This window comes from Homo sapiens, chromosome 11 (genome assembly GCF_000001405.40).
Source record: "Homo sapiens chromosome 11, GRCh38.p14 Primary Assembly".
NCBI lineage: Eukaryota > Metazoa > Chordata > Mammalia > Primates > Hominidae > Homo > Homo sapiens.
The window spans coordinates 65,420,789-65,446,774 of record NC_000011.10 but is presented as its reverse complement, the minus strand read 5'-3'; the positions used below and the strand labels follow the sequence as shown (position 1 = coordinate 65,446,774).

Sequence of the window (25,986 nt, the reverse complement as noted above, 5' to 3'; positions counted from 1 at the left end):
CTGGCACCAGAACTTGCCAGGGGCTAAGGGACTACAGATTGCTGCAAACACTCCTTGACCAGGAGGCCCAAGCCAGGGCTCCTCATGAAGGGTTCTCTCCACCAAAGCTGACTGGCTTTCGGCCCCTCTGTCTCCTGGCTCCCTTCCCTGGCCCTGCATACTGCATCCCCTCAGCCTTGTTGAGGTTTGGGGCTCCCTCCACCCCATGGGAGCCCAGCTCTCCCTAGAGGACCTGTGCCATCCTGTGACTTGAGTTTGGGCTGGGAAGACCCACTAGGGCGTGGTATTCTGAGTGGGCTCTGTGGGGTCAGAAGAGATGGCAAGCCTCCATAGGCCAGCTCTGCATACCTCTCTCCTGCTTCTGGCTGTTCCTTATGGGGCCTGACTCGTTAAAGGAGATTATTATAGTGATTGGCAGGGGCTCCCTGGAGAGCCTTGTGGTCAGGCAAGCTGCCCCAACTGCAGACAGCATCAGTATCATGGCCCATGAAATGGACTGTGAGCCCCTGGCCTCCCTCTTGGGGATGGGAGGGGGCAGAGACTGAGGGAGGAGGACACTGCCTGCCCAGGATCACAGCAGCTGCCTCTGCTGGTGCTGAGCCGGGGGGATCTCCTGGGTCCCAGGTGCCTGGAGAGCACAGGCTGACTTCCCTGTCCCACCCGGCACCTTGTGGTCCCAGCTGTTGGCCTTCCTGCACAAGGGCCGGTTCGTTGGGCCCTGTCCGCCCACCCATCTCCAGCCCAGGCCTCAGGATTTCTGGCCTCTCCCCTTGGACCTCATCTCCCCAAGCCCTCCCTGGAAGAGCCACGCTGGTCCTCAGATGTGGAGAGGAGGGTAGCGGTGAGTTGATCCTGGGAAGAAGAGGGCAGTGGGGAGTATGCCCTGAGGGGTGGGGACACTCCAGGTAGGCCCCACAGCTTTGGGTGCAGAGCCGCCAAGCTGTCCCCCTCCCGCTCCCACAGGAGTGGCTGAGGGGGCTAAGTTATCAGCTGCCTGTGGCCCCACGTCCCCTGCTGTATTCCCAGGGCCCCAGAGGATGAGGGAGGGGATAGCAGGGCAGGAGGGCTTCTGGGAGAGGCCTGGGGTGCCCCACCCAATGCTACCCCTCTAGGAGACAAGATATCCCTGGTGGGGTGGGAGGAGAGGCCTGGAGGAGGGAGCTGGAAGGAAGCAGCAACACTGCGGGGACTCGAACCCCGGCCCAGCCGTGCTGGACGTGCCACCACCAGCGCCTTTTGCTTTTTCCTGCTCACTCTTTCACAGATGGGAAGGTGAAAAGCAAAACCTGAGTGCGGCCATGGGCTGCACTCAGTAAAAGAAACACCTGCGGCGGCTCCGCGCCTCCCTCCCTCCCTCCCAGGCTCACCTCCTACCTTCCTTACTTCCCTTGTAAAGGCATAGCCAGGGGACATTGTCCCCCAGCTTCACATCCACATGTCTCCTAGCATGGCACATGCATATCCTGCCCAAGGAGCATGAAGTCAGACCAGCAAACTGAACACGAGGCACAGTCCTGCATGCTCTGGGACCGAGCACTGAGGGGGCCCACAGGTGAGAAGGTGCTGGCCCTTCAGCTCTCCCTCCCTCTGCCTTCACGAGCAGAGGCACAAGCTTCTGTGTGTATACAGAAATTTCCAGAGTGAGTCTAGGAAACTCGAGAGGACATCTCTGTGTAGTAGGGTGGGATAGGTGAGGGCAGGGATTTTACTTGCATTTTATACCCATGGCTTGAATTTTTGACTCTATGCAGATCACTTTTATCATTAAAGGCACAAATCTTTTCATCTGAACAGGGAATCTAAGACCTGTGGACACTTCCGGCACCCTGGCCTAGTGGAAATGGTTCTCTGGGTCTGCTGGGCCCCAAGCACCTGAGGTCACGCAGACGCCCGCCTGCCTCGCCTTCCATTCTCTGATCTGTCAGCCACCGTCAGCTGTGGATTCCTTCCTGGGAACTGCCATCACTCGAAATGAAGTCGGAAGCACAGGGCCCCACCAGCCTTTCTCCTGTCACTTGACTCTAACCTGGAGTCCAAGTCACCAGGGCCCCAGGACCCAAAGGTACACAAAGCCCACCTGGACCCTCAGCCGGTACTTGCCCCAGGCCACCCTCAGGATCCACGGTCCACAGCACCACTGCTGTTGGCTCAGGCTCTGCCTCCCCTGGGCCCACGGCGGGTCCGTGGGAGCCCCCCACGAGCTCTGCTGTCCTCATTTGAGAGTCCTGTCCTGGCTGCCATGGAGGGAGGGCCCCTGGAGCCCCTCCTGCTAGTGCTAAGGAGCTCAGAAGCCCTGCCCAGCAGGGTCCAGATGGGAAGCAGAGGCTCAGAGAGGACTGTAACCTGCTCAGGGACACACATGTCAGGCCAGGGTGAGAGCTGGGTGCCTTCTACTCATCCTGATGAATCTGAGCAGAATCAGCCCCCCATTTCTCCACAACTTCTCTCTTTTACACACACACACACACACACACACACACACACACACACACACACACACACACACACACAGTCTGAGGACTACCAGGTGGGCTCCGAGCCAGGTCTGCAGGCCTCAGACCTCTCAAAGGGGTGGGGAATGTGTTGGGCCAACTGCCTTTGCCCCCTCCCCCACTTTGCTCAAGCCCCATCATCCCTCCTCACACGTCCATCTCCCCTCACAGCCTCGCTTCAACTTCAGCCTCCAAACACACTATGGTGCGGGCACTTACTTACTGCAGCAGCAGAGAGGAAACATTCACGGCCATCTAAGTCCCAACCTGCCGATGAAGCAACAAAGCTCTGGCCTTACAAGGCCTCAGAAATGGGGGCAGTCAAAACACACTCTGTAAGATGAGCAAAGAATTAATTCAGCGTGTTAGCAACAGAACCCTTGGGTGTGTGCTGTGGGATAAGCGAGCTACGCGGGGAAACGTGCCACTGGCTTCCAGGAACCACTGCACTCAGCCAATGAGCAGAAGTAAAAACAGTGGTGTTGGCAGGGCCAAGGGAAAACAGCAGCCCTAGAACCATCTGGGGCGCAGGGCAGTGAGAGAGCCAAGTGACTGGCCCTTCCCTCTGGCCAGTGGGGTTGCAAACCAAAAGCTGCCTTGAGGTATAGAAGGGGATTTGCCCAAAGATATTTGTGACTGTAGAATTCGTAACCACAAAATGCTGGTGCCGGCCCACATGGCCCAGGTGGCAGTGACAACCTCTCACCCTGGAATGCCCCAGAGGACCCCAACCACAACAGGTGGATTATTTCAGCCCAAGTAATTGTGTCCCCACATAGTAACTACCAATCACAACAGTGTAAAATAAACACATGTACATGGGCAGAAAGCAGAAAAGATATAAAAATCATTCCAAATTCAGCAGTTGAAAATAACCCTCATAGATATTTAAGTCCAGTGCAAACAAGAAGACAGCGGAGTGTGTGTGCACATGTGTGCACACCTTTAGGTCTGCACTGTCAACACCAGACACAGTGAAGCCCAAGCAGCAAGCAGTCCACAGACGGGGGCGTTAGTGTCGGGAATACCAATGGGTCACCCTGCATCAAAACACATGGAGCAGACTGCTGAGCCAGCTCAGGGGAAGCGGAGAGACCCCAGGAGTGACGGTGAGAATGCAACTCACTTGTCATTACACAGGATATGGCAGATCGGATTTGACCAACAAAATGGGGAGGAACTGATCCAGATGTGGAATGTGACAGAGAATCCCTTCCCACTGCCATGGAACATTTATAAAAATAATCATACGTTAATCAATGAAGAAAGGGAGCCACACATTTAAAAAAGCAGAAATCGTACAGGCCACTTCCTCAGATAACCATTCTAACTAGGGTCAAATTATACATCAGGACTGAAACCACAAACATATAGGAAATAAGATAAAGTCTTTTGGTTTTTTTGAGACGGAGTCTCACTCTGTCACCCAGGCTGGAGTGTAGTGGCGCGATCTTGGCTCACTGTAACCTCCACCTCCCGGGTTCAAGTGATTCTTCTGCCTCAGCCTCCCGAGTAGCTGGGACTACAGGCGTGCGCCACCATGCCTGGCTAATTTTTGTAGTTTTAGTAGAGATGGGGTTTTACCATATTGGCCAGGCTGGTATTGAACTCCTGACCTCGTGATCCACCTGCCTCAGCCTCCCAAAGTGCTAAGATTCAGGCGTGAGCCACCATACTCGTCTGATAAAGTCTTTTCTTAAATACAGATGGAAGGCCTTCATGTGCCCTGGGGGTCACGTCCTGAATCCTCATGGTGGCCCCCAGGCCTGGAAGTTGGCCCTGTCCCTGCCAGCCCCAGCTTGCATGACTTCAGGCTCCAGCCATTTCCTTCATAGCCTGGCAGCTTTGCTCCTGCCTTCGCAGACAGGAATGCTGTCCTTCCAGCTTCTCCTACCCTTCGGGTCAGAGCCCAAAGGTCCCCACCCCTGGTTAGGGCTGTTTTCACTGGGCGGGGGGCGGGGGACTACACTCCTTGGTAACTGTCACAACTGCCCTTAACTAATGATTTGTGCATTGCCACCTGAGGCCTGTCCCCCATGAGAACAGCAGCAGCGTGAAGGCGAGGCTGTCAGCTGAATGCCTGTGTCTCTGGGGACCAGCTCAGGCTCTGGCCATGGGGGATGTTGATGGAGTGACCATTAAAAAAAAAAAAAAAATCAAAACTCTGTGGAATGAGGCAACAACTGTCCACTGTTACCCTTTGCTGGGCACCCCACATGCCTGCTAGGCTCTCGCTGCCCACACGAAACCTTACATCTTCCTCGGATGGCATCAGTAGCCTCCCTTACAGACACTGCACGCCCCAGCAATTGAGGAACCAGCGTGGCCACAGCGGGCTGAGGGCATGGTGGGGCTAGAGCAAGACTGCCTCACACCCTCGACTGTGCAGCCACCCTCCACCTCCCCTCTTCCATTCTTAAAAGTAGGCAAGCGTGATCATAAGTGAACCAGACACACAATGCGAGCCTCTAGAAAAAGAGTAACACAACAAAATCCAAGGCATGCCGGAGGAAAAGATTAATGAAACAAAAGTAGAAATAAATTATAAAATGAAAGCAGAACTGCTTACTTTATCTAAAGCTGCTTTTTTCAAAAGGCCAATAAAATAAATTTCTTGAAAGTCTTATTAAAAACGAAAAACTAGGAATAAAAAGTGAAAAACTATGCATAAGGAGGATATCAAAATATAAAATGCTACTCTACACTAATACATATAAAAAAGGTAATTAAGATAATATAACTTTGAAAAACTGACTTATAATGAAATAGAAATATTTAATAGCCCAGTAACCCTGGAAGAACCTGAAAAAGTTTTCAAGGCTGGGCACAGTGGCTCACACCTGTAATCCCAACACTTTGGGAGGTTGAGCGGGGGAGGATCACTTGAGTCCAGAAGTTTGAGACCAGTCCGGGCAACACAGAAAGACCCCACATCTACTAAAACAAACAAACAAATAAAAGTTTTCAGAACCACTGAAGCTCCTAAAAGAAGGCCAGCCCCAGCTGGTGTTACAAGACCCTCCGTGCCATGCAGCCTGCAGTGCAGAGGGTTGGGAACTTGTCTAGATATTTCCCATCATAAAGGGACAGGAAACAGCAGCTCCCCTTGCTCACAAGTACCTGCACGATACTATTCATTTCAGTTTCACACAAACCAACGGATAGGTTTGAACACTATTTTTATCCCCATTTCATTCACCCGGAAACTTGCTTCATGAATTTAAGAAATTTGGCCAAAGTCATGCACTACTGAGTGGCAAAGTAGGGAACAGAAACCAAGTTTTTGGGCTCAAAGCCACACTCATGACCACTGACCCCGACTATGTCTCTGCCTCCCCTGCTATCCTACCCAAAACCTGCCTGATGATGCCCTTAAGTCCAAGCAGAAGAAGTTCTAATTCATTCCTTTTCTTCTTGGTTTTTTTTTTTTTTTTTTTTTTGAGACGGAATCTTGCTCTGTCACCCAGGCTGGAGTGCAATGGTGCGGTCTCAGCTGACTGTAACCTCCGCCTCCTGGGTTCGAGATTCTCCTGCCTCAGCCTCCCAAGTAGCTGGGACTACAGGCACCCACCACCACACCTGGCTAATTTTTTTGTATTTTTAGTAAAGACGGGGTTTCACTATGTTGGCCAGGCTGGTCTCGAACTCCTGACCTCGTGATCCACCCACCTTGGCCTCCCAATCTTATTTGCTTTACAAGTCCTGCTTCAGGGTTACCTTCCCTGACCACTGCTGCCTCCCTCCCAGCATTTGCCAGGGACTGTCATTGCCTTAGTTTATTTTTTCTGTTTTGTTTTTTTTTTGTCGTTTTTGTTTTTTTTTGAGACAGCGTCTTAGTCTGTCGCCAAGGCTGGAGTGCAGTGGCGCAATCAAAGCTTGCTGCAGCCTTGAACTCCTGGGCTCAAGCAATCCTCTTACCTCAGCAACTAGGACTACAGGCACATGCCACCACGCTTGGCCTTCTAATTTATTTCTGTGTCAACAAAATAAAACTCAGGCCTAGGAATAGCTTGGTTCAGAAATCACAGAGGGACTTAGTATTCCATTAATACAAATGGAAACATTAAGTTCATCATCAGATGATAAAAGGAAAAAAAAAAACCTGATACTCATCTCAAAAGACGCAGAAAAGACATTTGCATAAATCCAGTACCTATTATTATTTCAAATTTAAAAACTTCTTCTTTTTTAAGAGATAGGGTATCACTATGTTGCCCAGGCTGATCTTGAACTCTTGGCCTCAGATGATCCTCCTGCCTCAGCCTCCCACAGTGCTGGGACTACAGGCATGAGCCACCACACCCATCATAAATTAAAACTTCTGAACAATCTAGTAACAAATGGAAATGCTTTCCCATGATCCAGCACATCTAGCAGGGGGTGTCTGCTGACATTCTACACAAAGAGACACACTGGAGTTGTGCTTCTCATCATTTCACATTAAGAACCCAACTGCACCTTTTTCTGTGCCTCTAAACACCTGTAGTCTGATAGGGGACACCCCCCCCAAGACCTTAATCATTCACATTAACACCTTGAGACTTTTTGCCATATCTGACTGAATATAGCCAGTCATTTTTTCCCTTAAATCAAGTCACTTTTTTTTTTTTTTAAACAAAGTCTCATTCTGTTGCCCTGGCATGATCTCAGCTCACTGCAACCTCCTCCTCCTGGGTTCAAGTGATCCTCGTGCCTCAGCCTCCTGAGAAGCTGGTATTACAGACGTGCACCACCATGCCTGACTAATTTTTGTATTTTTAGTAGAGACAAGTTTTCGCTATGCTGGCCAGGCTGACCTCGAACTCCTAGCCTCCTCATATGATCCACCCACCTCAGTCTCCCAAAGTGCTGGGATTACAAGCGTGAGCCACCTTGCACAGCCAAATCAAGTCACTTTTAAAATACAAATTTATTATATGTCTAAGGACATTATCGATAAAGTGAAAACACAACCCACAGAATGGGAGAAAATATTTGCAAACCATGTATCTGATAAGGGTCTAGAATCCAGAATATATAAAGAACTCTTACAACTCAGTAATAAAAAGACAAACGCCTAATTAAAAAGTGGGCCAAGGCTCAGCACAGACACTTCTCCAGGGAACATACACATATGGCCAACAGCACCAGCAAAGGTGCTTGATAGCATCACTCATCAGAGAAATGCAAATCCAAATGACACCAGAGGCTACTTCACACTCATTAGAATGATTATAACCAGAAAGTCAGATAATAACTAGTGTTGGCAAGAATGCGCAGAAATTGGAACCCTCTTACTTACTGGTGGGAATGTGAAATGGTGCATGGACGTGGGAAAATAGTTTGGCAGTTCCTCAAAAATATACAGTTACCATATGACCCAGTAATTCTACTCCTAGGTATATAATGAGAGAATTGAAAACATATGTTCACACAAAAACTTGTACGCAACTGTTCATAGCACCATTGTTCATAATAGCCAAAAACCAGAAATAATCCAAATGTCCAAATGATGTGTGAATAAACAAAATGGGGTCTATCCATACAGTGGAATATTATTCAGCCAGAAAAAGGAACGCAGTACTGTTATATGCTGCAACATGAATGAACCCTGAAAACCCGCTAAGTGAAATCAGACAGACCCAAAAAGACAAATACTGTATGATTACACTTATATGAGGCCCCTAGAATAGGCAAATTCACACAGACAGAGAGCACAACAAAGTTTACCAGTATAACAAAGGTTACCAAAGACTAGGGGGAGAGACAGGTAGGAAGTTATTTTTTTATGAATACAGAGCGTCTGTTTGGGATGACGAAAAAGTTCTAGAAATGGATAGTGTCGATGGTTGCACAACATAGCAAATATACTAAAAGCCACTGAATAGAACATTTCAAAAGCATGAATTTTATCTCAATATTTAGAAGGAAAAATAAATATTCTTAGAAGAAACAATATTACCATCATAAATGGAAAACCGGTAATAATAAAATACATACATAAATATTAAGATTTACAATGTCTATTAGCAAGTCACCCTAACTCATCTTACAGACCACCAGTAGGACAATTACCCCTTTGGGTGACATGAAAAAGGCTGCCAGGGGGCTTATGTCCAGTGCCCAGGGTCCAGCATGGCAACATATTTTGTAAAAAGTTCCAGCAGGCTGTGGACAGCAGGAATAGGCTGTTGAGGGGTTGGGCACAGGGTCAGGTGCTGGACACTAGAACAGGACTCCACTCCGACATTCCGGGTACACAGAACTTCCCAGTGGGAAGAGCTAGCCACACAGTGGCAGAAGCTTGGAAAACAACCCATCCCAGCCCTACGCTCTCTGAATGTGACCTTGGGTGCAAGCTGGGTTTGTATGAACTTACTGGCATTTTTAACAAGACAGTGTGTACGGGAGCATTTCAACTGCAAAGACCACTGAACTGGACACTGTCGGCGTGACAGTATCAAGTAACCATTAGGCAGAGCAAAACGTAAATAAAAGTACTCTGTGATGGGGTAGTCAGTCAGATGGGGTGGGGTCGGCTAGGGGGCAGTGAGGACAACTAGATGCCGAGGTAGACAGACCAAGACCAGCTTTCTGTGTAATGCAAAGTCAAATTAAATAGACGTGAGTGGATGGAAAGACGTACCTTATTCTTGCATAAGAAGACAACGGCATGAAGACATCACAGGGAAGGTTAAGGTAAACATGCAGCCTGGAATAGCCAGGAGAATTCTGGAAAAGTAGAATAATGAGGTAGGGCTTCCCTTCGCTATTTTGAAGTGCAGATTACACTATGTAAAACCATTAGGAACTGGCACGTGAATAGACAGATCAATAGTTAATAGCTGTATTAGCCAGAAAATGGTGTAAGGACAACAGGCTAACTAACCCTGTCACTTGTTATGCTAAAATTAAGTCTAGATAGAGTCCTCCAAAATAAAAATAAAAAGAGTTAGGAGAAAACATGGGGTTTAACAACAACAACAAAATCTTCAGCTGGATTAGCCTTTTCAAACTACTCACAAAATCCAGGAACCATAAAAGAAAATTAGTATATATATATGTATATATATATGTATATATATATATATACATATATATATATATACATATATATATAAACTAAAGAGCAAAATATTACAATAAAACTTAAAGATTAGTGAGAAATAGGAATGTATTTGAAAAGGGTTAATTTCCTTAATATGTAAAGAGCTCTTATTATTAATCAGTAAGTATACAACCCAATAGAAATACAAATCCAAACTACAATTAAATACTATTTTCCACTTCTCACATTGACAAATAACCAAGTTTAAGGGCACAGCCTGGGTGAAGGTGTGGGGAAATGTCAATGGGACCAACCTCCTTGAGGTGGAAGCTGGGGGTGTCCATCATATTTAGAAATTTACACATGCTGTGCCCAGAATTCCTCCTGAGGAAACTTTTCTCTCACAGATATACTTGCCCATGTACATAAAAACCCATGTACACAGATATGCGGTATAGCCTTATCTACAGTAAAAATTGCTGAAACAACTTAATGGTTCCCCAAAAAGGGAATGGGTAATTCAAACACGGCTACCACACAGATGTTGAAAAGACCAAGGCAGACATGAATACAGATATGCGGTGCTTACCTAGATGTACTAGTAACTCAACAGTCCACAGTGCAAGACAGGCTGTGTGGTGTACCCACGCCTGTACAGCTTTACACATACACAGGTTCTCTGGAAAGAAACTGCAGCAACTGGCCATGACGGTGGCCTCTGTGGGAAGGGAGGCTGGGGGTTAGAGAAAGATGCCACTGAATCACCCACAGGGTTTGAAGTTCAAACATGTGCAGGTATGGCTTTGAACAGTTTTCACACATCTATTCATAGGTGAAATTAACTGGAAGGAAACTAGCAAAGCATTTGCCTTTGGGGTCAGCACAGGAGCAGAGGCCCAGGCAGGGCCTTGCTTTGACACACAGATGATGGGTCACACAGTTGTCACCTTGACAGAAGAGTAACAGGGACAGCACACCAGTCACTCTAGGAGCTGAGGCCAGAGGAACTCAGGTATTTCCTTCTAGAGGTAGTAAGTCCACCGAGGCAGATGCCAAGCCGGGTGGTGCCTCGCTGTGTACAATGTTCTGCTCCCTGTGCCCCTATGAGTGACCCTATGAGGTAAGAGCCAGAGCCGGGCTCACACCTGAGCTCCTGGCATGTGGCGGCCCTTTAGAAGACAGAAAGTGTGTGCTTAGCCCCTGAAGCAGCCACGCTGTGCCCAGCGGAGGGCAGGCGCAGACAGCACTCCTTCCCAGACCAGGATGCCACTTAAGATTTCAACAAACTAAACAGACAAGTGAATAAAAGATCATTAAATACCACTTTTTACAAATGTCACAGACGCTTTCCTAGAATAGTTTGTTTTTGGTTTATTTAATCTGTGTAGGGGAAAGAATACCAGGAATTAGACTCTGGGGCCTGCAGGACCCACTACTGTTTTGTGCTAAGCCAGGCACCGTGTTATACTCGATTCCGGTATGGACAGGCAGCTGCAGCCACTACGCAGTTTTACCCCAGTTCCACGGCACATGAGGAGAGGACCAACATTATTCTATTTTGGCAGCACGTGCTTTCAACCCATCTCACAAAACAGTGTCACCAACCAGATGTGCCAAGAGCCAGAGCAGGTGAAGACACCTACAGATGCTGCCTCCTCTGGACACTGCCTCTGGGTGCCTCAGCTCTGCACCCAGAGGGATGCAAAAGAGATCCCCGCAGCACACTTTGAGATGGCTAGGAAACTGCAAATAACCTCAAAGCCATCACTAGAAAAATGGTTAAAATGACCATACCAACACGTACAATATGACATGTTATAGAGCCATAAAAATAACAGTACACCTTGTATGATTCCATTTTAGGGCAGAGAATAATAGGATACATTTTAGTACATCCACAGCCAGAAAATGTCTGAAGGAATATAAATGAAGTTGTCATTAGTAGTTATCTTAGGGGTCCGGGATTATAGAGGAACTTTTATCTTCTACATGGCCTTTTTCTATAGTGTTTGAATTTTAATTACAAGACCAGTGATTTATAAATTCATACACTCCACAGCCCCATCCATTACAATAGCACATAATATAATAACATTAGCCATGGACTTACCTAAATCTGCATAATTTTGGTCTCTTCAGGACAGTTGCTGCAATGCAGGCATAAGCAGAGGACAAAGCCACAGTGTGACCTGGGTGCAGAGCACTGGGTTGGGCATCACCAGCAGACACATGACAAAAGCAATTTAAAAAATTATACCTTGACAAAATTATACATGATTATATGTCTTGGACCCTGGGGGCCTTGTCAGCATTAAGCCCATGAATGCTAAATTCACACACAGATGACAAGAATCTACTGTACCAATTACAGTCTTAGTAGGTCACTGCATACATGATAGATCAAAGATGGCAACTAGCAGAAACTTAAGTTTCATATATGGAGCGTCGTAGAGGATATGAACAACAGATACTCTCATACTTAGGTATGCAAAGCTGGACACCCACTCTGGAGGGCAACAGGGCAGAATGGAGAAAAATGTCGGACTCACGCCCTATGACCCAGGAATTTCACTTCTTGGTACCTACCCTGAGAAACACTCATGCATTGTGCACAAGGGGTTGTGTATGACGATGATCGCACAGAACTGTTTGTAATATCAAAAGATTAGAATACTGTAAATTTCCATTAACAGCAGAATGGCTAAACTCACAGACATACAGTGCAGAAGTTGAAAACAATGAGGGCAGTTCTCTGTGTACTCCCAGGCATCTCCCTACTGTTAAATGAAAAAAAGTAATCAATAATGTACAGGACACAATAGCATTTTACCACTTCTATAGAAAAGAAACCATGCAACACGTTTTTCAGATACAAATGGAAGTGAATAAGGCGAGGTGTAGCAGGAAACACAGCAAACTGGTAACACTGGTTACCCCTCTGGAGGGTGGGGGATTGGTAGTGCCAACGTTGTTGTCGTCACCTTTCAACTCTGTGTAAGGAGAAAACACCCACATATCACTTCTACAAGGACACTGAGAAACAGTGTTGTTGAGAGGCTGAGAGGCAACCTAGTCACCATGGATGGGAGAACTGATAAACTAACTGAGGTATAGTCACATGATGAGCTCTATCCAGTAAACAAACTAAATGAACTATCCCCTGGGCAAGGGCTGAATCTTACCATGGTATTAAATGAGAATGTTCCATAAGATTACATGCAAAATAATAAATTTTCTCTAAGAACAGCTAAAATATAAATATATACTCTGAAAAACACATTTAGATCAGATTCTTTTGCAAAATTATATGAAAAGAAAGCAAGTGAGAGATAAACCCAGGATTCAGGATGATTATTACCTTGGCCTAGGGGGTGGCAGGAGGCGGCAGGGGAGGCGGGTGGTGTGGGACCACATAAGTGGAAGGTGTAGTAAAATCTCAGACTTCACTACTGTAGAACTCATATATATGACCAAAAGCCATTTGTACCCCAAAAGCCATTGAAATTAAATATATATATATACACACACACACACACACATAAAGAAAAAAAAAGAAAATTATAAGAAGTTAATATTGACAGACCTGGAACAAAAAATCAAAGACAGTATTTAGTCATTAAAATTTTGCTATTTCAATTTCATCAGTGTAAATAATTAATTTAAGTGGAGAGGAGTGTTCATTGTAACCATAGGAGTTACTGTCTGTATTGTCCTAGTTTTTGTATTGGATAGGAGATTCAGAAATGCTTACCACATTATTAAAAAACAATTAAAGAAAGCAAGTAAAAGAGAGCCATGTTGTGTCCTGAATCAAAGATTAAGATTGAGATTTACCCAGTTCTGTGTATTTGAGTTCCAACAGAGAGAATATTCTTGCCTTACAGGAGTGTTCTAGCCTCCATTTACCAGATTTTAAAGCATAATGAAAAGTGATGATCATTACATTCCATTGCATTTTATTAACAACAACAACAAAAACTGGAGCCTAAAATTTCCAGAAATAGATCCAGAGAGAAAATGTTAAGAACCATTTGATCTAGCAATCCCACTCCTGGGTATCTACCCAAAGGAAAAGAAGTCATTATACCAGAAAGACACTTGATGGCAGTACAAGTCACAATTGCAAAGATGTGGAACCAACCCATCAACCAGTGAGTGGATAAATAAAATGTGGTATCTCTACACCATGGAATATGACTTAGCAATAAAAAAGAACAAAATAATGTTTGTGGTTTTTTTTTTTTTTGCAGCAATTTTGGATGGAGCTGGAGGATATTATTCTAAGTGAAGCAACTCAGGAATGGAAAACCAAATACTGTGTGTTCTCACTTATAAGTGAGAGCTAACTTATGGGTACAAAAAGGTATACAGAGTGACATAATGGACACTAGAGACTCAAAGTGGGGAGGGTAAGAGGGGGGCAAGGTATAAAAAACCACATATTGGGTACAATGTACACTACTCAGGTGACCGGTGCAGTAAAATCTCAGACTTCACTACTGTAGAATTCATCTATATGACCAAAAGCCATTTGTACCCCAAAAGCCATTGAAATTAAAAAAAAAAAAATACACACACACACACACATAAAGAAAAAAAAGAAAATTATAAGAAGTTAATATTGACTGACCTGGAACGAAAAAACCAAGACAGTATTTAGTCATTAACATTTTGCTATTTCATCAATGTAAATAATTAATTTAAATGGAGAGGAGTGTTCATTGTAATCATAGGAGTACATACATGTTTAGCTACTAAAGAAAAAGTAATCAGAAGCAAATTCAATGGACTTATCAGTTATTATTATTAGACTTATCAAAGACTTATCAGACTGATTTTTAAAGTCCTGGTATAATAGGTGCTTTTTGCACCAACAATAACAGGAAAAATGGAGGATAAGGTTTACAATCATAAGTGGCAAATGTGGCCTTCCCAATGATACTAAGAGTTCATGATCATTATAAAGGTCAATATGAGAATTTCACATGGTTAGTGGTCAAAGAGGAAAAATGCAGAGAGAAACTGTGGTAAAATAGAAAATTATAAAAACCATTCGATCCAGCAATCCCACTACTGGGTATCTACCCAAAGGAGAGTAAATCATTATACTAAAAAGACACCTGATCATAGCACAATTCAGAATTGCAAAGATATGGAACCAACCTACATGCCCATCAACTGATGAGTGGATAAAGAAAGGTGAGTACAGAAATATAGACTAAGACAACTAAAATACCTTAAAAGTACCTTATAACGTTGGATTTGGCAAGGATTTCTTGGATATGACACCAAAAGCACAGACCACAAAAGTAAAAACAGATAAATTAGACTATTTCAAAACTAAAAACTTCTATACATCAAAGAACACAATCAACAAAGTGAAAAAGTAACCTTATGGAATAAGAGAAGATATTTGCAAATCATATATCTGATAGGGGATTAATATCCAGAATATAGAAAGAAACTCCTACAAGTCAACAACAACGATAACTCTAATAACCCAATTTTTAAAATAGTCAAAGGACTTGAATAGACATTTTTCCAAAGACAACATACAAATGACCAGTAAGCATATGAAAAGATGCTCAGCATCACTCCTCATTAGGGAAATGCAAATCAAAACCACAATGAAATGTCACCTCACACCCACTATGATGGCTGCAATCTAAAAAAAGCAGAAAATAACAAGTGTTGGGGAGGATGTGGGAACCTCGGAACCCTTGTGCACTCTTGGTGAGAACGTAAAATGGTGCAGTTGCTATGAAAAACTACAGTGGTTCCTCAATAAATTAAAAATAGAAATATCGTAAGATTTAGTAATACCACTTCTGGCTATATACTCAAAAGAACTGAAGGTAGGATCTCAAAAAGATGTGTGTACATTACAGCATTATACTTGTAAATACAATAATATAGATATTTGTACATAGCACCATTATTTACAATAGCCAAAAGCAACCCAAGTGTCCACTAATGGATGAATGGATAAAAAAAAGATATAAAATAAGAATATTATTTGGATCTTTTAAAAAGGAAGGAAATTCTGACATATGCTACAACATAGACGCATCTCGAGGACACTGTGCTCAGAGAAATAAGCCAGTCACAGACAGACAAATACTTCATGATTTAACTGATATGAAGTGCTTGGAATAGTCAAACTCACAGAAACAGAAAGTAGAATGGGGTTGCTGAGGCTGGAGGGAATGGAATGTTTAATGTTATTTAATGGGTACAGAGTTTGTTTTGCAAGATGAAAAAGTTCTGGAGATTGGTTGTACAACAATGGCGACATACTTAACACTACTGAATGTATACTTAAAAATGATTCAGATAGTCAACTTCTATTATATGTATTTCACCACAAAAATTTCTTAAAGTAGCAAGAAATAAATAAAATTGTAAAAACCTGATGTTAGTGGCTATGTAGGGAAATGGATATCATATACTCACAACAGGAAGTGTAGCTTTCTGGAGTCATTTGAGTCTGTGAAGAGAGTTATAAAACCATAAGTGCTCACTGCCGAGGCAATGCCACTCCAGGGGATACATGTGTACACTAAATTTACAGAGATGCTCACAGCTGCACGATTTAAAGTAGTCAAAACAGTTTAACAGCTCAAGAGATGGGCTACATATCCTTTAGTATAAGCACAATGGCATAAAATCATGCAATCATTCATTCATGATCTTTTTTGAGCACGAACAAGCAGATGAAAGTTATGCTTTCCACAGAAAAATACAATTTCAGAGCATTTATAGACTTCTAGAAACCCATCCATGGGACTTCCTTTGGGAAGGTTAAGAATCCTGAGAAAAAGCCTCTTCAAATGTGTTTGTGAACTCTGCCGGTACAGGGAAATACTACTGGAAACAAAATTAAGTGTAGAAACAGACCAGACCAGAATATACATGCTGATTCCCGTTACATGAAAGGTCCAGCGCCAGGCGGGCAGGCAGCCAGCCACAGAAAAGGGAGAGGGGCCCAGGAGGAAGTGGCTAGACCTGACGCTAGGCACCAGGGGAGGCGGGGAAGGAGGGCAGAGGCAGGAGAGTTCACTGTGAGAGCTCAACAAGGAGTAGCTGCTGCCAAACATCTACATTCATTTACCCGCATTTCACAGACACAGGCTTGGGGAGGTTAAGTAACTTGCTCCCAGACATAAAGTTGCCAAGTAGTCCAGTCAGGATTCGAACCAGCTCCAGTGCCCTATTAGGTCCAAATCCACTCAGATGGGGAAATGGAGAGTCAGGGACAAGCAACAACCAGGGGCCCATTCAGGAAACATCAGCCTGCCCTCAAGGTCTTCTGAATTGAACCCTGCCACTGTGACAACCACCCTCACAGGACAGGGCTCTCTGGCCACAGGAGGTGGGTTCTGAGAGCACCATGCCCCTCCTCACACAAACACAGATTCCACAACACACACCACGGGGAAGAAGGTTTAAATGTAAAAAACGAAACCATACAAGTTCCATAAGAAAGTATGGATTAATATTTATGTACTCTTGGGGTGGAAAAGATCTACACATAACAAGTTCAGAAACCACAGTGATAAACTAACCTAAGAAAATCGTTTAACTTTTATCTACCTGAAACACAAAATTAAAAGGCAACCTATAAACTGGAAAAAAATATTTGCATCAAATATAACAAAAGATTATCAATATCCTTAAGATGTAAATGGCTTTTGCAAAACAATCAATAGAAAAATGACTAGGAATTAGAAAATCATACACACACACACACACACACACGCACACACACACACACCACAAATGGCCAATTGACACAAGGTAGAGATGTTCAGTCACCAGCAGACAAAGCAATGCTCACATCCAGAGGGAAAGCAGACTCGATCCGTCGGAGGAGCAAAGGTTTTCAATGTGATAAAGCCGGTTCTGAGGAAGAGGGGAAGGCATCAGGTTTGCCTCACCAGTGAGAACACTAATTGAAAAAATCCCTCCCTGCTGGGCAGTTTAGCAATATGAACCTGAAGTCTTAAGAGTTTAACAGTCATTTCCTTCTCGAAATGTATGTATTCAGCATTCCCAAAGAGATAACAACAGACGTGAAAAAGTCTGAGCTACAAGGAAAGTCATCGCAAGTATTATTTTCTAAGAGGAAAAAAAAACTAGAAAATACCCTGTATGCCCATTGAAACAAGATTGTTTAAATTGATACAGCCATGCAAGGGAACATCCTGTCATCATTAAAAAAGGTGTTCACTATATATTAAAGTCACAAAATAGAATTTATGGCATAATCCCATTTTTGTTTAAAAATGTACTTATCCCATGCATACAAAAGAAATCTTCCAAAAGCAAATGTGCCCATAACAATTGTTACTGGTAAGATTACTGAGGACTTTTAAAAAAAATTTCCTTATTTGCAAACTTTACAGTAAACTTTTTTTTTTTACATATTAGAACTCAATGAAGAATTATTTAAAAGAGAGGAAAGGCAGTGCAGGGCTGGAGGTCCTGGAGGGTGGCGGCGGGTCGTCCTAACTAGCAGGCTGAAAGGTGCTGGAGGGGATGCCTTCACTCAGAGGAAGTTCACAGCCACCTGCCTTGGAACATGTACCTGTTCATCTTTTCGTAATGTTAGTATTCATTTTGCTATCTTCCTGTTGCCATTTCCAAACAGTGTCAGTATGTTTTTGTTAAATACGAACATTTAAAACATATCGTATCTGTAAGCCTATTTGGGTGTCTTCATTTCATGCCCGCACTGCACCATAATGAGTACCACACAAAGCCAGAGGATGACACTTCCTCCAGAGGTCTCACTGCACATGGAGAGGTTAGCCCTGGCATTAAGGGTCCTTGGAATCTCTCAGCAGTCATAGTCAGTCAGATGCACCAAGGGCAGCTGAGTCAATCTCCTTTTTGTAACAACAGGCCGTTCCTGCGGTTCTCAGTGCTGCCAACCTGGGCATACTGAAGAGCCTCAACCAATACTGGCTCTCAGGGTACTTTCCTTTTTAAAAGAAGTTCAACTTTTGCTATTCTTATGCCCCATAACTTTTAATTTGCACAAGATCAGCCATGCCCACTCACTGAATTCTATTATATTACCCACACCTCTGGAAATTCACAAAGTCTGAATTCAGATCTATGCATAAGGATGCAAACGGATTAGCAATAATTGCTGGCACTGCCATCAACACCTCCTGTCGATCTCACCTGATCTGAGGATAAATGAAGGCAAAGAATGTGGCCCCAGCCCCTGGATTGGAGTGGAGGCAAGGAGGGTGGCGAGCTGTCTTCAGCAGTCGGCCTCACCTCTCTGCTCCTGTATCAACAAGTGCCATTTCATCCCCACTTCCAATCCCCAACATTTATACCCCGTGAATCAATTCTTCTTCAGCATGCCAGTTGCTGGAGACAGCACCATTTACATACAGGCATCTATAGCAGTTATCTTCCAGGGTGGAAGCAAGAGTTTTGTAATCATAAAAAACAGGACGAGAAACAAGGAGTTCTGAAAAGAAGAGAAGGCGGTTATAGAGGTGCTGGGGTAAAAAGCAAAGCAAAGGGGTAAGATAGGAAAGGAGGCCTGGATTGTTTCTGGGGCATCCAGGGAAAGGAGTTGCAAGCAGAAAGAGGACCCTGGATTCTGCACACAGCAGTGCCCCATCTTGGAGATGCCATGAGCACAGACAGAAGGTTTACTAGGTGGGCGGCACAGTGACTTCTCCCCAGCACTCCACCCGTTTGTCAGTAGTGTACACGTGGAGGGGTCACCAAGATATAACGGCACAGGCAAATAAGACACAGTTGCAAGGACGGCAACCAGCCCTGCAGCTCATGGGAAGGAAAGAATCCTTCAGGTCATGATCCCCCACCATTTGTGTTGGTCCCCCTGGCTAGTCCCAGTTCAGCCCTTATCTCCCCTTCTCAGGCAAACAGGCCCAGGTGAGTAGAACAAGCCTCCCTTGCTGCTCCCTTTGAAACAAGCACCTTCCTTCTCAGCACAGAGGCTGGCAGTGGCTTCCATTCTACGCCCAAAGTTTGTCTCCTGTAAGCAAAACCTTACACCCCAAGAGGTAACACAGAACAGCAGTGCAAGGACAGAACAGTCCCACCCAGGAGACAGAGGCAGTTTGCAAGCCAAGATGTATCCTCCAGATTCCACGTGATCCTGCTCACACCTTTGCACAGCCTCTGCTTGCTTACTGTAGCACGCACACAGGGAAGCCCAGACGTTTTAGTCACTCACCAAAAGGAAAAAAACAAGGCAAATTCTTTAGTGAGGTAAGAATTACGCATACACTTAGACCCAAATCCCAGGCACATTCCAGCCTCCCAAAGACTATGGAATATGCATATTATGTGTCCATTTCTGTTTTTATTCAGGCTTTCCCCTAACCAAACAAAAATAAGTACCACTTAGAACTCTAACCAGGTAATGTTTTAAAATATTATGGCAAAGTACTCCCCACCTACACACCCACCTTCATTGGCTTGAGTGGTTTCATCACATTTCAAACCAATGATTACCAACTCTCAACAGAGAGCAGATCCCATCCCCACTCAGCAGTCTGCAGACCACTTGGGATAATACCAGTTCTATCTGTGGTTACCATGCTCTCCTACATGGCCTTAATTACTTGGAGCTAGCAAATCTAGACCTAAATCTACAATATGAAGATACATCCAAAGTCGTTATGAAGGCAATGTGATAGGGGTCGAGAAATGTAACATAGCAATACAACAATTCTAATGAGTTTAGAACTCAAACTTTATTTGTGCTGTAAAGGGGAAGAAAAGTGATTAGTAATTATGTACATGACGTAACAGAATTAGTTCTTACCATACAGAGCAACATACCAGTACTTTCAACCATCTACTTTTACAGTTTCAATTTCACAACAGCATACCCGAGACTACTTCCCCATACATGCGTGACTAATACACTCTAAATCCCAACGACAGTAATTGTTTGCATCATCCCCAAGTCATTGGTTAAGAACTGAACTACCATGTCAACATATTTTTAAACATTTAAAAAATGGAACCCAGAAGACAGAAAGATCCCAACGATAAAAATAACCATGATTTTTAAAATTTCAAGTGAAACTTAAAGGGAAGAAGGAAATGATAAAAAGCCATTGGTATTACTTTACCAATTCAATAGACGCAGCTCAGAACCAAGCAGGGTTTTCAGATCACACATGTAGTAAAGGCACCTCGCCCACTCTCTCCCCACAATCCCCATCCCCTTCCCTTTTTAGGTCTTGTTTTCCAAACTGATTTTAGGTGATAGTTTCCCCTCTAGTCTTGGCTCATTTAAAAAGCACAAACATTCAAATTAAAAATACAATAAATTATTCATTCTAACCTTAGCAAAGGTACATGGATTCTGTCTACCAAATATTAATTTTACAGTGACCACAAAAGGTTATTTGGTTGTTACAAAGACTACAATTTGAAGATACTAGATAGGCAAAAATTTTGCCATTATTAATATCGACCAAACACAGAAAAGACAACAGATGTGTTTCTAAGGCACGATTTACATACTAAATTCCCTTGAAATTCAATGCAATTTCACTTCGCTCATGATTTTCAATCACAAGACACCTGTGACAAATGAGGAACAAATCCAGAAGAGCCCATCTAATCTCGTCTTAAGTGGTCCCTTAAATACGTTAAAAGCCCACAATATAGGCATTTACAAGGCTTTTCTAAGACTTCCAGCTCCTGAAAAAATCACACCTTCACAGTTTCAAATCAACCACCTAAGTTGCTAAGGGGCAGCGAAGGATGCTGATCTGCTGCGTATGCAAGTCTGACGCCCATCTTTCAAGTGACTAATTCACTTGATAACACCCACACCCCAAACAAAACAACCCTCTGAAACAGGCTGTCTTGGCCACCAGGAGGAAGCTGGTAAAGACATTTCCCCTGCCTGTGAGATGGCATCACACACCCCTCCCTTTGGTTCTCGGAAAACTGGTGACTCTGTGTCACCTGTTTTCAGTTAACACTTCTTCAGTCTTCCCCACCTTGTAGCAAAGCAAAACAATTTTTGTTTGTTAGTTTGTCTGTTTGCACTTAAAGTTCTAAGCACTTTGGAAAGTTTCTAAGCAACTTCTCACTTCCAAGCAACAACTTAACCAACACTAACAACTTACTATTATTAATTAGTATTTTCTTGGCTCACCCACGCACTAAATTCCCCAAAGCCCCAGAGAATTCCCTTCAACCTGCATTTCCTACCACCCCCACCACCCACACTGTATCTCTAACCAACCCTCTCCCCTTCTTCACCCTCATCCCTCCCAGTACCAGTGCCAAGCTGCATACCCCCATCCCCCACACTGCAACGCCCACGGGACCGGTGCCAAGCTGTCCCCTTCTCCCCGTCCCCCACAACTCCCACCTCAGGGTCCTCTTACTAGAATGCCAAGAAAGTATTATGAAATCTAACGAAGTAAAGTTCAAGTTTAAAAAAACGAAGCAAGAACAAAAGAGCACTACCGGTGTACCCACCATTCCCTTCTCCTAGTAATCTGCAATGCAATCACAATGCCCAAACTAGACCTGCCATTTCTCACACACAGATTTAGGAATGACCAACTTGTACCCTCCCAGCGTTTAGCACAACACAATGACACCCTTAATTTGACAATCTGCTTCCTCTAATATATCCCCAGTCTAAGGCATTTAAAATTAAACAGCTCTTCAACGCCCCAAGTTATTTCATCAGGCTAAGAACTTCTCCGAGAAACGCACAAGAAGGCAGGCAAACAGGTGGGTAGGTGAGAGGTCACGGGGCTCCATCTGCAAGCTCCATCTACAAGGCATCAATCTGCGTTGTGGCATCAACGTTAAAATGTTCTACAGCTTAGGGATCTTCTTGAAGCAAGGTTCCAAGCACAAAACTAGTATGACCGGAGGCTCAATTTAGAAGATGCAGCATCTGAAAACCTTTACCCCAGGAAAGGAGGGGTGCCTGCTGGCATTCATGGGCTCTGGAACAAGCATTTATTCAAAGCTGATGGCCCCTCGAGCCGGATGCATCTGCTGTGGACTTTTTAAGATTGCCCCCCATAAGCTCATCTGCAAACTTTAAATGGTAGCCTCCTGAATACAGGGCTTCCTGAGCAAGGCCTGGAAACAGAACATTGGAGAACTTCCTCCTCCTAAGCCTCTGGAAATTCAATCTGCAGGCATCAATTGAGGCGGGCTCTCTCCTCCAGGGTCTCCCCTCCTGCAATGCTAGGACTCACACTGGCCAGGGACTCCATGTCTCCCGGTTCCATCTGCTCGCCATGAGGAACACTATAGTAACAAACCACGGTCCATGAAGCATTTTTGTAACTTTCAGCTGGATGGCTGCAGGCCCACCCAAGGGTGCACATTCACTCCCCACCCTCTCTGCAGGCAAGCAACACCGATCCGCCCCACCCCAGCCTCAGCGGGAAGGCCTCTCTTCCTCCACCATTACCAACAATACCGACTCCAACAGCCACTCGGCTTACTGTCCCGGGCTTACCAGATGACCAGGTAATGTTTTAAGTGAATGGATAAGTTAAAGGGAGGAAGAAGGGGTGGAGTGAGCTCACAAGAAGAGTTTAGCGCCAAACCTAGAGAAAAGTCCAAAAGGAGCACTGCCACCTGGAAAATAAAGCGTTGGTCAATGTTGTCCCCAACACCCGAGCAGCGTGCCTCGCAGTCCCCGCCTGTCAAACATGCTAGGTGCCGCACCAGTCACCGGTGAGGATGGCGCCTTAACTCCACATCACTCCTCAGACCACCCCTCACCTCCGCCCAGGGGCCTGGCTTCGCACCCAGACCTGGACGCTCCACCAGGCTGGGCCCGGCCTGGGCCCCGTCCCAGGCCGAGCGAAAATTACATACCACCCTGGGCCAGAGCGGTCAGCCCCGTCGAGCTAAGTTCAGTTCCACAAGACCAGGCCTCATCCCCAGGCGGGTTCACAGCCCTTGGTCTGGAAAAAAAGGGGCTGCTGGCATGGACAAGTTGAAGATTAGCCCTCCCGGCCCTCCTGCAGCCCTGCACCCACTGCCTGCCTTCCTGATCATTTCCAGGGCTGCTGCGGCCTATTCCTCCTGACTCCTCCACCCCTTCTACCTCTCCCTGCCTTCCTCCTTCCACACAGACCAGCGCACCCGGGCTCGCTCAGCTATGCAAGAGCGGCGCCCTCCCAGAGGTCAAGTTCCCCCTCCACCAGGCAGTAGGGACAGCCTGGCCTGGAGCGTGGCTGTTCTGCCTGGGGGACCCTGCGGATATTTTCCATGCAGCCTGCCCCACTGTGGTCCCCCTAGACCTAGTCTCCTTGCCAAGCTTCCTTCTCGCACCCCCAGCCCGCCCCCTCGTCTCATCTAACTCAGTCATCTCTCCCTGTCTGTCCCCTGAAGCCCTGAGCTAGCCACTTCCTCCCCCACAACTACACCCAGGCGCGCATCCCTCCCTGTCGCTAACTCCGGCTGGACTTGCCACAACTTTTGCTTTTATAGCCCTCAGCCGCGTCACCGGGGTCATTGCTCAACGGGACGATTCCTCCACGGCCACCGGCAAAAAAGTCCCTCCCCGACCCTGCCCGGAGAGACTCCCGGGCGGTGCATGGTCTCCCAGGCGGCCCCCACGCAAGGACCCCAGTGTATCCCCGCTTCTCTTTAACAGTGCTTTTTGGGATCGCGGACAGCGCTCAAGGTGACATTTGGGAGGCGAATGCCATGAGGAAGAAGACCCCTTTTCTTCCCGGATGTTGTTGAGGTCGGGCGGGGGACGCGCTTCCCCGAGAGGGGCTGGGGGCGTGGCGGGCGGGGGCGCCCTCTTGAGTGGGCGACGGGAGCCGCCGGGGTCGCTTGAGGTCACCACGCCCAGCCGAGGCCCGAAAGAAGGGCCGGCAGGACATCTGGAAAATTCCAGGCGGCGGCGGAGGGATCTCTGCAGAGGGCACGTCCCGCCGGGAGGCGCGCGTGACTTTCGGGCGGTGGTTCCGAGTCGGGCTCGGCCGATGACGTCAGCGCCCGGGCGCGGGTTGGGGGCGGGGCGGCCCAGAAGGCCAGCGGGGTGCTGCGAGGGGACGTGGAACGCTCCGCACCCCAACAGGCGGTTTCTCTGGCCAGGAAACCCTGCTGCGGGCTGATAGCGTCCAGGAGCTAGTGGGTGACAACATGGAGCCCCGTGGAGCCGCGCGGGCGCTTCAGGGGCAGGCATCGTGGTTTTGACTCTTCCCAGGGGCCTGGCGAGGGGACGTGTTTCCTGAGAATGCGCATCCCTGCCGGGGTAGAACATTCAAGAAGTGTGTTCAGGATGGATTAAGTGGGAAGAGGCCGTTGCAAAATAATGTAAAACCAAGATATTGTGCGGAAAGCAGTATCTGACATAGCCGAGGGACAGGCTGTCGGCTCATTTTACATTTGGGTGGGGGTGGGGAGAAAGGTGATTTTTATTTATTTATTTATTTTTTATTTGCTGCATTTGCAAGCAGGCATCCCCAGCCTGGCTCTTCTGGAAGCAAACCTGGTGAACTCCTGAGCCCTCCAGCAAGGCGGGCAGGGCCCGAATGTCTGGAGAGGACTTTGGACCGTGTAGCGGGCACCTCCCTTGCTAGGGGGTGCAGGGTGATGAGGAAGCTCTGGCCCCTGAGGTAGAGGATGAAAAAGGACCCCGGTTCAAGTAACCAGAATGGAAAATGGCATCTGACAGGAACTCCTGCCAGGAACCTCTCCCTGGTTAACACCCACACCCCATACAAAACAACCCCTTGAAAGCAGGCCCCCTTGGCAACCGAGAAGAAGCTGGTGAAGACATTTCGCCTGCGTCTGTGAGGTGGTATCAGCAGGCAGGGCTGGGCCTGACATGCACCCCTCCCTGTGCTTCTCGGAAAACTGGTGACTGTGTGTCATCTGACCTTCAGCACAGAAGGTGGTGATGTGGCAAGCCCAGGCTTGCTCCCTGGCGCCTGCTTAGCCCTGTTTCTCTGCCAGGGGAAGATTCCGGCAGTGCGGCCTCCTCCAGGATCTGCCCCATCAGTCTCTTCCTGACTGTATCTCCAGGGGTGGGTTGGGGTGGGGTGATTTGGCCTGAAAGAACCGTGTGGAAAGAGGGAATTGTCTGTCAAAATGTTCTAGAAAGCTGGGCAGCTTATGAAACCAATGGAGGAGTCTTCACTGCTGCTTCACAGTACTGGGCAGTGGAGTCAGCCAGACCTTTCTTTATCTCACCAGGCATCTGAGAGGTGGGTCGTCCCCGCTGTAGTGCTGTTTCTGGGCCCCAGTTGATGTCTTAACTTGCTTTTCTCTATTTCAGGTCTCGAAATCTCTCTAATTCACACACATCATTCCCAAATCCCAGAAACAAACTATGGTAGATTTTATTTTTCAAAAAAGAGTGGGATCCATTCGCTTTTGAAGGCCATGGTGGGAGGATTGCCTAGAGGCCAGGAGTTCGAGACCAGCCTGGGAAACACAGCAAGACCCTGTCTC

General features: G+C 46.0%; 1 long non-coding RNA gene and 1 other non-coding gene across 3 annotated transcripts, besides 19 other annotated features; both read right to left on the bottom strand.

The window, feature by feature from the left end:
• Positions 1-1,234: 1,234 nt before the first annotated feature.
• On the bottom strand, positions 1,235-23,977 carry NEAT1 (nuclear paraspeckle assembly transcript 1). Of its 2 annotated transcripts, none has more exons than NR_131012.1 (1): positions 1,235-23,977. It is a non-coding gene; the product is annotated as a nuclear paraspeckle assembly transcript 1 (long non-coding RNA). The 2 variants fall into 2 exon arrangements; NR_028272.1 differs by having other exon boundaries at positions 20,243-23,977.
• Positions 1,677-2,501: an enhancer, noted in NCBI's record as "H3K4me1 hESC enhancer chr11:65211745-65212569 (GRCh37/hg19 assembly coordinates)". NCBI's record gives its function as "activates a minimal SCP1, AML or CMV promoter by ChIP-STARR-seq in primed H9 embryonic stem cells {active_cell/tissue: H9 hESC(primed)}" and the evidence as "EXISTENCE:reporter gene assay evidence [ECO:0000049][PMID:30033119]".
• MIR612 (microRNA 612) lies at positions 2,218-2,317 on the bottom strand. The gene has a single exon (NR_030343.1). It is a non-coding gene; the product is annotated as a microRNA 612 (primary transcript).
• Positions 2,502-3,327: an enhancer, noted in NCBI's record as "H3K4me1 hESC enhancer chr11:65210919-65211744 (GRCh37/hg19 assembly coordinates)". NCBI's record gives its function as "activates a minimal SCP1, AML or CMV promoter by ChIP-STARR-seq in primed H9 embryonic stem cells {active_cell/tissue: H9 hESC(primed)}" and the evidence as "EXISTENCE:reporter gene assay evidence [ECO:0000049][PMID:30033119]".
• Positions 2,620-2,749: an enhancer, noted in NCBI's record as "active region_4970". NCBI's record gives its function as "activates an Ori minimal core promoter by ATAC-STARR-seq in GM12878 lymphoblastoid cells {active_cell/tissue: GM12878}" and the evidence as "EXISTENCE:reporter gene assay evidence [ECO:0000049][PMID:35858748]".
• Positions 16,156-16,205: an enhancer, noted in NCBI's record as "active region_4969". NCBI's record gives its function as "activates an Ori minimal core promoter by ATAC-STARR-seq in GM12878 lymphoblastoid cells {active_cell/tissue: GM12878}" and the evidence as "EXISTENCE:reporter gene assay evidence [ECO:0000049][PMID:35858748]".
• Positions 16,523-16,817: a silencer, noted in NCBI's record as "tiled region #4367; K562 Repressive DNase matched - State 5:Enh". NCBI's record gives its function as "represses a minimal TATA promoter and a strong SV40 promoter by Sharpr-MPRA in K562 cells {active_cell/tissue: K562}" and the evidence as "EXISTENCE:reporter gene assay evidence [ECO:0000049][PMID:27701403]".
• Positions 18,596-18,745: an enhancer, noted in NCBI's record as "active region_4968". NCBI's record gives its function as "activates an Ori minimal core promoter by ATAC-STARR-seq in GM12878 lymphoblastoid cells {active_cell/tissue: GM12878}" and the evidence as "EXISTENCE:reporter gene assay evidence [ECO:0000049][PMID:35858748]".
• Positions 18,776-18,965: an enhancer, noted in NCBI's record as "active region_4967". NCBI's record gives its function as "activates an Ori minimal core promoter by ATAC-STARR-seq in GM12878 lymphoblastoid cells {active_cell/tissue: GM12878}" and the evidence as "EXISTENCE:reporter gene assay evidence [ECO:0000049][PMID:35858748]".
• Positions 18,996-19,065: an enhancer, noted in NCBI's record as "active region_4966". NCBI's record gives its function as "activates an Ori minimal core promoter by ATAC-STARR-seq in GM12878 lymphoblastoid cells {active_cell/tissue: GM12878}" and the evidence as "EXISTENCE:reporter gene assay evidence [ECO:0000049][PMID:35858748]".
• Positions 21,475-21,524: a silencer, noted in NCBI's record as "silent region_3524". NCBI's record gives its function as "represses an Ori minimal core promoter by ATAC-STARR-seq in GM12878 lymphoblastoid cells {active_cell/tissue: GM12878}" and the evidence as "EXISTENCE:reporter gene assay evidence [ECO:0000049][PMID:35858748]".
• Positions 22,345-22,474: an enhancer, noted in NCBI's record as "active region_4965". NCBI's record gives its function as "activates an Ori minimal core promoter by ATAC-STARR-seq in GM12878 lymphoblastoid cells {active_cell/tissue: GM12878}" and the evidence as "EXISTENCE:reporter gene assay evidence [ECO:0000049][PMID:35858748]".
• Positions 23,506-24,091: an enhancer, noted in NCBI's record as "H3K27ac-H3K4me1 hESC enhancer chr11:65190155-65190740 (GRCh37/hg19 assembly coordinates)". NCBI's record gives its function as "activates a minimal SCP1, AML or CMV promoter by ChIP-STARR-seq in naive and primed H9 embryonic stem cells {active_cell/tissue: H9 hESC(naive and primed)}" and the evidence as "EXISTENCE:reporter gene assay evidence [ECO:0000049][PMID:30033119]".
• Positions 23,506-24,677: a biological region, named in NCBI's record as "H3K27ac-H3K4me1 hESC enhancers GRCh37_chr11:65189569-65190154 and GRCh37_chr11:65190155-65190740".
• Positions 23,985-24,204: an enhancer, noted in NCBI's record as "active region_4964". NCBI's record gives its function as "activates an Ori minimal core promoter by ATAC-STARR-seq in GM12878 lymphoblastoid cells {active_cell/tissue: GM12878}" and the evidence as "EXISTENCE:reporter gene assay evidence [ECO:0000049][PMID:35858748]".
• Positions 24,092-24,677: an enhancer, noted in NCBI's record as "H3K27ac-H3K4me1 hESC enhancer chr11:65189569-65190154 (GRCh37/hg19 assembly coordinates)". NCBI's record gives its function as "activates a minimal SCP1, AML or CMV promoter by ChIP-STARR-seq in primed H9 embryonic stem cells {active_cell/tissue: H9 hESC(primed)}" and the evidence as "EXISTENCE:reporter gene assay evidence [ECO:0000049][PMID:30033119]".
• Positions 24,678-25,261: an enhancer, noted in NCBI's record as "H3K27ac-H3K4me1 hESC enhancer chr11:65188985-65189568 (GRCh37/hg19 assembly coordinates)". NCBI's record gives its function as "activates a minimal SCP1, AML or CMV promoter by ChIP-STARR-seq in primed H9 embryonic stem cells {active_cell/tissue: H9 hESC(primed)}" and the evidence as "EXISTENCE:reporter gene assay evidence [ECO:0000049][PMID:30033119]".
• Positions 24,678-25,986: a biological region, named in NCBI's record as "MED14-independent group 3 enhancer GRCh37_chr11:65188260-65189459". NCBI's record gives its function as "regulatory_interactions: ATG2A".
• Positions 24,787-25,986: an enhancer, noted in NCBI's record as "MED14-independent group 3 enhancer chr11:65188260-65189459 (GRCh37/hg19 assembly coordinates)". NCBI's record gives its function as "activates an origin of replication core promoter dependent on BRD2, BRD4, P300/CBP and CDK7 cofactors, and independent of MED14, by STARR-seq in HCT116 cells {active_cell/tissue: HCT116}" and the evidence as "EXISTENCE:reporter gene assay evidence [ECO:0000049][PMID:35650434]".
• Positions 25,075-25,554: an enhancer, noted in NCBI's record as "active region_4963". NCBI's record gives its function as "activates an Ori minimal core promoter by ATAC-STARR-seq in GM12878 lymphoblastoid cells {active_cell/tissue: GM12878}" and the evidence as "EXISTENCE:reporter gene assay evidence [ECO:0000049][PMID:35858748]".
• Positions 25,153-25,737: a transcriptional cis regulatory region, noted in NCBI's record as "candidate enhancer chr11.3235 targeted for multiplex CRISPR interference". NCBI's record gives its function as "positively regulates ATG2A gene expression with high confidence in K562 cells {active_cell/tissue: K562}" and the evidence as "EXISTENCE:mutant phenotype evidence [ECO:0000015][PMID:30612741]".